Below are 10,560 nucleotides of genomic sequence, written 5' to 3'. Positions count from 1 at the left end.
GGTGTGAAGTTCTGAACCGCTCTAGCCACAGTGGGTCCACATTTCCGTCAAGTGGGGAATCGCGTGCAAACAATGCTAGTGTGTAAGATGTTAACATTTTGGGCAGAGGTTACTTAATATGCAGTCTGAGTTCTCTTTAAATGACTGCTTCTTTTTGGCAACTCAAGAGGATTGCAAACATTTCGTTTGGGGGTTTGAACCATTATCTTTGGGGAGTTGGCGTGGTTGCTTTAACTCAATAGCTTTTCAGCAATTAAAAGGAAAAAATACTTAACAGGAAGTAATGTTAGGTAGTTTAGGGTCTCTAGGTGTTATCTCCTTTGATTCGCCCTTTCTGTAGAGATTATCCAAGCATAACTACTGAATAGCCTGCAAATGAGGTTTTAAGGTCAGCACAACTATATGGATGGGGAAGAAAGTGAGATTCTGGTACACGGTGTTCATCTCAATAGAAATCGGGCACCTATTGAATAGATGAATGACTCATCGCATATTTCCTGTTCATGTCCATTACAGGTAAAAAATTATTAAAAGTTAAATTGTGACTTATACTGCCTGATAGCTTAGAATGTATTCACTGTTTTCAAAGAGACATGAGAAGATCTGCATTTTCTCCTTTTGCTTTGTCCCTTCTCTTCCTGATGTTGCTGATTAGAACATAGCTCTCTCCAGGAAGTGCTACAATTGGATCAATGTGGAAAGCCAGAAAGAGATGAAGGGCAGGCTCTGGGAATAAATATGTAAAGAAAAGCCTCTGTTCTCCAGAGATTTCTTTTGTATAACTCAGCTTTCAACAGCCATACATCCAAAGAAGACCATACCACCCTGACATAAAAAAAAAAAAAGGAAGAAAAAACCCAAAATCCTGCAAATTCCAACTACTGTCTGTTGAATATTAAAGAATGGTTTTGGTGACTTTGGAGGGAAAATCTCACTTTAAGTGTAATAAATACTCTTAACTTAATTTGGTAGATGTTTCAGTGATCTTTACAATGGTTGAGATTCATAAAATTTATTGAAATTATAAAGCATGTTTTTTGTTCTCTGTAGCCTTCACATCTCTGATTGGGGAAATTTTACAATCAGTGAAATTCTGTGAATTAGGGATGTTTGTAAAATATGAATAAGAAACAAACTTCAATAAGGCATTTGATATAACTTACCAAAGTGTAAAATGATTGCCTTAAAAACTTGTATTAAATTAGACTACAAACTTAGAATATGTTAATGTTTAAACTTTGTAATAGTAAACTCTTCAGTGGTTAACGGAAGTTTAAAAGTGTCTAGGTTTAAGTATGTCAGAACTGTCTTGAATAATAAAGAGATAAAAAAGTCGACTTTTGAATGAGATGGAATGAAATTTATTAATATTTAATGCTTCTACTTAGCATATTATTGGGAAGGATCATTAGCTATTGTTAAGACACTTCAGTTAAATACATTTCTGTCTATTGTCTTGTAAAATGTAGGAAGTTTATTTGGTAAACAATTTTTAAGTAAAGTACTTTTAGTAATATAATTTTGGAAATTGCTGCAAAAATCTGTGGATTTCAAGATAGTAAGAGACCACTTGTTCTGGTTTGTGGTATTTCATGATTGCTCTGTTGATAACACCAGATAATTTTTGTAATATACATGGTGTGTGTTTAGCGAAGTATAATCTAAGGAGAACCAGATGGCATGATTCTGGCAGTTATGAATATGGTCAAGAAGATGGGTTTATTGGCCAGGGAGGTGGCTCACACCTGTAATCCCAACAGCTTAGGAGGCCAAGGAGGGAGAATTGCTTGAGGCCAGGAGTTCAACCTGGGCAACACTGTGAAAATCCCTAACTACTTGGGAGATTGAGGTGGAAAGATCACTTGAGACCAGGAGTATGAGATTACAGGAGTTTGAGGGGAGGATCGTGCCACTGCACTCCAGCCTGGGTGAAGAGCAAAATAATTTACTTAGTTCGGGTCAGCAGTTTTCATATTCGGTTCCTGTACATTCTATTCCCCACTCCCCTCTTTTTTTTGGTGGCTTACAAATGTCTGTTTGAATAAATAGGGTAGGGATAGCTGATAATAGAGAATAAAGATAATTTAAGTAAAGATAACAAGAATTCATAATCATTAAGGTTTTTCCTAGCTATTATTTATTTGGAACAATTTAAAAATTTTATTCAGTGTTTTACCTTGCCCGTGTAGGAGACCAGAATATGCCACCCCAAAATATGAAAGATTGTTGAACAGAACAGAAGAAGCAAATGCAGGAAAGCTCTCTACCCTCTCCCTATTTGCCAAAGAGCAGGACATAGATTTACAAAGACAAAAAGTACCTTGCCCACCTTCCTGCGAGACAGAACAAACATTAACCACTGAAAACAACTTTAGACCCTTATAGGTGTGGAGATGATACTAGAGCAATCTGTATTAACAAGCTTTACTAACTAGCCTTTATGTGCCATTTATTGCCTTCCCCCAAGGTGCTGTCCCTAAAGGCTCAAAAGTCCTTTTCCTAAAATTTCTCTGAATATTTGCTGTTCTTTTTTTTTTTTTTTTTTTTTTTTTTTTGAGACAGGGTCTCTGTCACCCAGGTGGGAATGCAGTGGTGCAATCACAGCTTACTGCAACTTTGACCTCCCTGGTCTCAGGTGATTGAGCCTGAGCCCGCCTCAGCCTCCTGAGTAGCTGGGACTATAGACACATACCACCATGCACAGCTAGCGTTGTGTGTTGCGGGGAGGGGTTGGAGATGGGGTTTTTCCGTGTGTGTGTGTGTTGGTGGAGATGGGGTTTTTGCATGTTCCCATGTTCCCCAGGCTGGTCTCGAACTCCTAGGCTCAAGTGATCTGCTCATCTTGACCTCCCAAAGTGCTGGGATTACAGACGTGAGCCACCATGCCCGTCCTGCTGTTCTTTGTTGAAGATGCTATATAAACTGAAATTCAAAGCCACCTCTTTGAGAACTACTCATTCTCTATTCTCATGTATATGTGAAATATACATGTTAAGAAGCTTTTCTTTTTCTCTTGTTAATTTGTCTTTTGTAACAGGTTAACTCCAACTAAGAACCTATGGGGGTTATTCTTCCCTCACACCTATAATTGGCATTCTCTGTGAAATCATCCATATCTTATTAGAATAATAAAAGCCATAGTATACATATAGTATTGTTAGGCATTTCATATTCATTTTCTCATATAATCACTGTCATGCGCATCCGTGTGAAGAGACCACCAACAGGCTTTGGGTGAGAAATAAAGCTTTTTAATCACCTGGGTGCAGGTTGGCTGAGTCCGAAAAAGGAGTCAGCAAAGGGAGATAGGAGTGGGGCCGTTTTTTAGGATTTGGGTAGGTGGTGGAAAATTACAGTTAAAGGGGGTTGTTCTCTTGCGGGCAGGGGCGGGGGTCACAAGGTGCTCAGTGGGGAGCTCCGGAGACTCACTGTCCCGGAGAAGGAATGTCACAAGGTAATGTCATCAGTTAAGGCAGGAACTAGCCATTTTCACTTCTTTTGTGGTTCTTCAGTTGCCTCAGGCCATCTGGATGTATACATGCATGCTTGGGCTCAGAGGCCGGCCTGACATTCCTGTCCTCCACTGTAAGAGTTACCCAAGGCGTCTGTGATGGTCCAGGAGGCTTCCCAGGCAATCAATCGGGCAGCGTCAGTCTTCAGCCGCTAAGCTGAGAAGATCTGGAAAGGAGTCAGAGAGCCTTAGGCCACAGTTCCAGGGGCTGTGGGAGTGGCTGCTGGGAGAGCTGGACAGTCCAATTTCCAGTGGGGTCCCACACAGATGGGACACATCTTAGGAGGAATCCTGGGCTGCGGGCATTCCTTGGCCCAGTGGCCAGATTTCTGGCACTTGAAGCAAGATCCTGGGGGAGGAGGTCCTGGAGGAATGCCTGGCTGCTATGGTTTAGGTTTTTGAAGTTCTTGTGTGCTGGAAATGTGGCTGGGGTTTGTCTTACAGTGGAGGCAAGGAATTGCAACTCAGAAATACGTGGCCACTTGGCTGCCTCTATTATTGTACACCTTGAAGGCGAGGTTAATTAAGTCCTGTTGTGGGGTTTGAGGGCCAGAATCTTAATTTTTGGAGCTTTTTCTAATGTCAGGAGTGGATTGGGTAATAAAATGCATATTGAGAATAAGACGGCCTTCTGGCCCCTCTGTGTCTAGGGCAGTAAAGCGTCTAAGGGTTGTTGCCAAATGGGCCATGAACTGGGCTGGGTTTTTATACTTGATGAAAAAGAGCCTAAACGCTAACTGATTTGGGAGAGGTTGGCTAAAGAAAAAGGAGCATTAACCTTGACTATGCCTTCAGCTCCAGCCACTTCTCTAAGAGGAAATTGTTGGGCAGGTGGGGGAGGGCAAGTTGTGGAACAAAATTGTAAGCCAGACTGGGTATGAGGAGGGGAGGTGATAGAAGGATTACAGGGTGGGGGAGTGGAGGCTGAGGAAGAATTGGGACCTGGCTCGGCCTGGCGAGGAGCAGCCTGGGGTGGAGGGGAGAGGTTAGGTGGGTCTGTAGAAAAGGAAGATTCAAAGGACTCAGAGCTTGGGGTGGAGACTGAAGGAACAGACGGGAGAAAAACAAGAAAGATTTGGGACAGTCACATTGGGAGCAGAGACTAGGGAGGGACCAATGTATAAAAGAATGCCTGGATATCAGGCACCTCAGACCATTTGCCCATTTTTTGAAAAAAATTATCTAGATCTTGTAGGATGGAGAAAATCGAAAGTGCCATTTTCTGACTATGTGGAGCCATTACCAAGTTTGTATTGGGGCCAAGCAGTGTTGCAGAAGAAAATAAGACGCTTAGGTTTTAGATCAGGTGGGAGTTGAAGAGGTTTTAAGTTTTTTAGAACAAAGGCCAAGGGAGAAGAAGGAGGAATGGAGGGCAGAAGGTTGCCCATAGTAAAAGGGTAAGTTTAGAGAAAAGAGAGGGTAGAGACACAGAGGGCGGGGGGTGGTACTTGCCACCAAGGTGAAGGATCAAGGCAGGCATCCCCATGGTGATCAGACACCTCTGAAATGTGGGTGAATAATCAGGCAGGCGTCCCCGCAGTGATTAAACACCAAGGGAAGACTGTCTTCCCGAGTCTGTGACCAGCGCTGGAGTTTTGAGTTCACAGATAAAATGCATCTCCTCTGTCTCTACCAGAAAGGGGAAAAGGAACCAAAATTAAGGAAGGGAGAGATTGAAGGGTGGAGGGATAGTGAGAGAGGTTGGAGAAGGGAGTGAAACGACCGCTTACCCGATCTGAAATTGGTGAGATGTTCCTTGGGCTGGTTGGTCTGAGGACCTGAGGTCATAGGTAGATCTCCTCACCGAGTGAGGGCAAGGATGGGGGACTGGTCTCTCGAAGGAGTCCTCCTGTCCTGGGTCTTCAGCACAAAATGTCAAGTGCATCCGTGTGAAGAGAGTCCACCAACAGGATTTGTGTGAGCAATAAAGCTTTTTAATCACCTGGTGCAGGTGGGCTGAGTCTGAAAAAGGAGTCAGCCCGCCTGCACCCTGGTGATTAAAAAGCTTTATTGTTCACACAAAGCCTGTTGTGGACTCTCTTCACATGGACACGCTTGACAATCACAATTCTTGTTTCTCTATAAAACTAAGACTCAGATGCTAGATAACTTGCTCAAAGTCATGTAGCTAATGAGTGATATAGTCTGAATCAAAGTCCACATGTTCTTCATTACTCCAGCTCAGCACCTTGATAGAACCAATGACTATCATTTTCTTAAATTGTTTTTTATAGTACCTTGAAATTATTTCTTAAAAAAATTTCAGGCTGGGTGCAGTGGTGCCGGCTTGTAATCCCTGCACTTTGCAAGCCTGAGGCAGATAGATCACTGGAGCCCAGGAGTTTGAGACCATCTTGGGCAACATGGCAAAACCCTGTCTCTACCAAAAAAAAAAAAAAAAAAAAAAAAAATTAGCCAGGCATCGTGGTGCACGGCTGTAGTCCCAGTTACTCAGAAGGCTGAGGTGGCTGACGTGGGAGGATCCCCCATCTCAAAAAAAAAAATTCTATTTATATGTACTGTAAAGCTTTCCTCATTTTGTACCAATGAGGAGTTTGCAGTGTGTCTCAATTGTGGAAAACCTATGGCAAAATTGTCTAGAAATAAACTGCAAAATAGTCAATATTTAATTTAATATTTAAGTCATTTGCTCACCAGGTCAGTGCCTCAGTTCTAACTTGAAGGGACTGATCATAAATGCAGCACTTTTGCTTGTGTGTGTGTGTGTGTGTGTGTGTGTGGTATTGCAGCTTCAACGAGAGGCTTTATCACAATTTTTTCCTCTAATCTTAGTTCCTACAGCTAAGGAAGTGGTATCAGGCTATTTATCTTTTCCTCCAGGTGGTGATTAAAGTAGCTTTCTCAAGTATATGAAATTAATTTCATGATAGCTGTAATCTCATCCATTGATCTGTCCTTTGAGAAGTGAATAAAGGAAGTAGGTAAAATCTTGAAAAGCAAAGGTCATATTTACATGTTAATACCACATGATAAAGATGAGAAGGAATCAAAGCGTTAAGGTTATGAGTTCTTTTCCTTGCTGCACAAGTATGTCTTTAGAAAGTCTTTTGAGCCTTTGGAAGGCAAAAATAATTACCGAAGTCAGATCACATTTTGATAGGCAGCCATTCAATTATAGTATGCTTGTTTTTGTGTTCTTGAAGATCAATTATTTTTAAAATCATGAGCAAAGAACCACTTGAAAGGAAATGTAAATTTTAATATCACTTAGGAGACTTTGTCTTGGCTTCCTGAATTCTACTATTTGGGTGGATATGTAAATAGCGTAGGTATTAACGATGTGATTATGACCACATTTGTGTTTGTGTGTGTGTGTGTGTTTCAGTTAGTATATTTTGAGAGCTTCTGTGATATGGTATCCAAACTTTCAGCAGCATTGTGGTAATTCTGCGCATGCCCCAGTCTAAAACACTACCAGTCAATATCCACCATGTGCTAGGCAGAAAGGTTTTGTGATGAGCATAATACACGGACCCTTCCCTTGGGGATCTTACAGTTTAGTGGGAAAAATAAATTTTGTAGGGGCAAAGGGGGAAACTTCTTCACCCTCTGAAGATTCACTGAAAAATCAACTCATAAAAGGCAGATTAATAAGAGAAAAGGCATCCAATTTCTTAACATGTACATAGAGTACATCAGAATGATTACCCAGTATCCCAGTGGGGTGCAGAAGTTTTTATGCCATCTTGAGGTTACAGAAAGAATGGGGGCCTGGATTGTGGCAAATCAGGTTATGGCAGCATACACACACACACACACACACACACACACATACACACACACACACACAAAGGCTATGGGAGGAAAAGAAGAGAAGGCCTGACTAGCAAAGGTGGTCTTGTTATGTAGATGAAATTCCACAGGTAGTAGCCCTCAGAGAGAATAGATGGTGTTTCTTTCAGACCTTAAAGGTGTCAGACTCTTTTCCCTAGATCCAGACAAAGGAAAGCCTGGCTGCCTCAATGCAAATTCTCTACAGATGTAAATCTCCCCCACAAAAGACAGCTTTGCATGCCTACTTCTGTTTGCTGGCTCTCTGACAGCCATCTCAAAATATGGCAAAGAAATATATTTTGGGGTAAACTATTTTGATTTCCTTCAGTCCCCACGTTGAAACCTTAAAAAAAATTCACATATTAAAAGCTAAGCCAATAGCTTTGGAGAGATTTGGCTTAGAAGTTTTAGGTACAGATGGACAAAGGAGTAGAAAAACAAATTGGGATAAACAGAAAAGAGCAAATTTAAGTGTATCGTTCTATATCTTCTTGAATCAGTCTCAGCCCTGAGAATATATCAGTTTGGTTAAACAGTTGTGACCTATTCCAGGAGGTGGCATTGCAGATTGGCTCTGTCTGTATGTTGCTGGCAAACATCTTTAATACGAGGCATTTCTATGGAAACCGAAGAAAAACAAAGGTTAATGCCTGGAATAGTCTATAGACAAGCTTTTCAAGAGTCTCTGAAACATCTTCAGATTGCAGTGGCAACTTCGGATTGTAGTTCGAATCAGGTGTTTAAGTGAACTTTTTCAGTAGTCCATACTTCAGCAAGCATGAAATCTGTTTATATGTAAGTTGCTTTGATTTCTCCTGAAGTTTAAGTTGTCTAGCTTCAGTTTGCAGGGCCTTAAGAAAAGCACAGTTTCAATGATTTCTAATGATTCCAAGTCAGAAAAATGGAAAAAAAAATTTGAAAATGTTAGTTTGGAGACATATAGCCAGGAAGGAATTCAGAATTCAGTCCAAATTACAGGAAAATAATAAAAACTCAAGAACAATGGACAAAGCTAGAATCTAATAATATGTGTTTCATGCGTGTCTATGTGAAGAGACCACCAAACAGGCTTTGTGTGAGCAACGTGGCTGTTTATTTCACCTGGGTGCAGGCAGGCTGAGTCCGAAAAAGAGAGTCAGCAAAGTGTGGTGGATTATCATTAGTTCTTATAGGTTTTGGGATAGGTGGTGAAGTTAAGAGCAATGTTTTGCGGGCAGGGGTGGATCTCACAAAGTACATTCTCAAGGGTGGGGAGAATTACAAAGAACCTTCTTAAGGGTGGGGGAGATTACAAAGTACATTGATCAGTTAGGGTGGGGCATAAACAAATCACAATGGTGGAATGTCATCAGTTAAGGCTATTTTTACTTCTTTTGTGGATCTTCAGTTACTTCAGCCCATCTGGATGTATACGTGCAAGTCATAGGGGATGCGATGGCATGGCTTGGGCTCAGAGGCCTGACATTCCTGTCTTCTTATATTAATAAGAAAAATAAAACAAAATAGTGGTAAAGTGTTGGGGCGGCGAAAATTTTTGTGGGGTGGTATGGAGAGAGAATGGGCGATGTTTCTCAGGGCTGCTTCAAGCGGGATTAGGGGCGGCGTGGGAACCTAGAATGGGAGAGATTAAGCTGAAGGGAGATCTTGTGGTAAGGGGTGATATTGTGGGGATGTTAGAAGAAACATTTGTTGTATAGAATGATTGGTGATGGCCTGGATACGGTTTTGTATGAATTGAAAAACTAAATGGAATAAGAGAAGGAGAAAAACAGGTATAAAAGGTCTAAGAATTGGGAGAACCTAGGGCATCTGATTAGAGAGTGCCTAAGGAGATTCAGCATAGTCCTGCCAGCAAAGATTATTTATTTACTTCAAGAGTTAAGAGTGGCAGTTTGGGGATAGCACCAGGAGATATCAGCTGTGATGGCTTGGAGAAACAGTGTAAACCGGCAGTGTAAACAAGAGCAGGGCATGTATGAGTAGTTGAGAACGGTGAATAGGAGTATGACTAGAAAGAAGATAGTAGGGATGACAAGTTTTTTTTTGGGGGGGGGCACAGTCTAAGTTGGTCTGGTGTCTGGAATAAGACTGGGGCCTAATAAAAAGGAGCGTCTACACAGGAGCTTCAATGGGCTGTACCTTGTAGCATTCTGAGGACAGGTCTGACTTCTGAGAAGGGAAAGTGGTAAAAGTATTGTCCAGTCCTTTGTAAGTTGGTGGCTGAGCTTGGTGAGGTGTGTTTTTAAAAGACCATTAGTCTGTTCTACTTTTCTTGAAGACGGAGGACCGTAAGGGATATAAAGGTTTCACTGAATACTAAGAGCCTGAAAAAATGCTTGGCTGATTTGACTAATAAAGGCTGGTCTGTTATCAGACTGTATAGAGGTGGGAAGGCTAACCTGAGGAATTGTGTCTGACAGAAGGGAAGAAATGACTGCGGTGGCCTTCTCAGACCCTGTAGGAAAGGCCTCTACTTATCTAGTGAAAGTGTCTACTTAGACTAAGAGGTTTTTTAGTTATCTGACTCGGGCATGTTGAGTAAAGCTAATTTGCCAGTCCTGGGTGGGGGCAAATCTTCAAGTTTGATGTGTAGGGAAGGGAGGGGGCCTGAATAATCCCTGAGGAGTAGTAGAATAGCAGATGGAACACTGAGAAGTTATTTCTTTGAGGATAGATTTCCACGATGGAAAGGAAATGAGAGGTTCTAAGAGGCGGGCTAGTGGCTTGTACTATAGCATAGCCTGCCTTTGCTGGTGTGTGGCGATTAGGCCTGGTGGAACTGCCATCAATAAATCAAGCATGATCAGGGTGAGGAACAGGAAAAAAGGAAATATGGGGAAATGGGGTGAATGTCAGGTGGATCGGAGAGATACAGTCATGGGGGTCAGGTGTGGTATCAGGAATAATGTGGGAGGCCAGATTGAGGTCCGGGCCAGGAACAATGGTAATTGTGGGAGTTAACAAAGAGTGAGTACAGCTGAAGGAGCGGGGGAGCAGAAAGTATATGCATCAGGTATGAGGAAGAAAATAATTTTGGAAGTTATGAGAAATGTAGAGAGTGAGTTGAGCATAGTTTGTGATTTTTAGGGCCTCTAAAAGTATTAAAGCAGTGGCAGCCGCTGCACGCAGACATGAGGGCTAGGCTAAAACAGTAAAGTCAAGTTGTTTGGACAGAAAGGCTACAGGGGGCGGTCCTGGCTCTTGGGTAAGAATTCTGACTGCACTAACCATGCCTAGGAAGGAAAGGAGTTGTT

The 10,560-nt window shown here is 41.9% G+C and overlaps 2 annotated features.

The window, feature by feature from the left end:
• Nucleotides 8,047-8,247: a silencer, noted in NCBI's record as "peak233 fragment used in MPRA reporter construct". NCBI's record gives its function as "represses an SCP1 promoter by STARR-seq MPRAs in K562 erythroleukemia cells {active_cell/tissue: K562}" and the evidence as "EXISTENCE:reporter gene assay evidence [ECO:0000049][PMID:32103011]".
• Nucleotides 8,203-8,720: an enhancer, noted in NCBI's record as "NANOG-H3K27ac hESC enhancer chr1:53895322-53895839 (GRCh37/hg19 assembly coordinates)". NCBI's record gives its function as "activates a minimal SCP1, AML or CMV promoter by ChIP-STARR-seq in naive and primed H9 embryonic stem cells {active_cell/tissue: H9 hESC(naive and primed)}" and the evidence as "EXISTENCE:reporter gene assay evidence [ECO:0000049][PMID:30033119]".

Source organism: Homo sapiens, chromosome 1 (genome assembly GCF_000001405.40).
Source record: "Homo sapiens chromosome 1, GRCh38.p14 Primary Assembly".
Lineage (NCBI taxonomy): Eukaryota > Metazoa > Chordata > Mammalia > Primates > Hominidae > Homo > Homo sapiens.
Note: the sequence above shows the minus strand (reverse complement) of the source record. Positions and strands in the feature narration are given on the sequence as shown.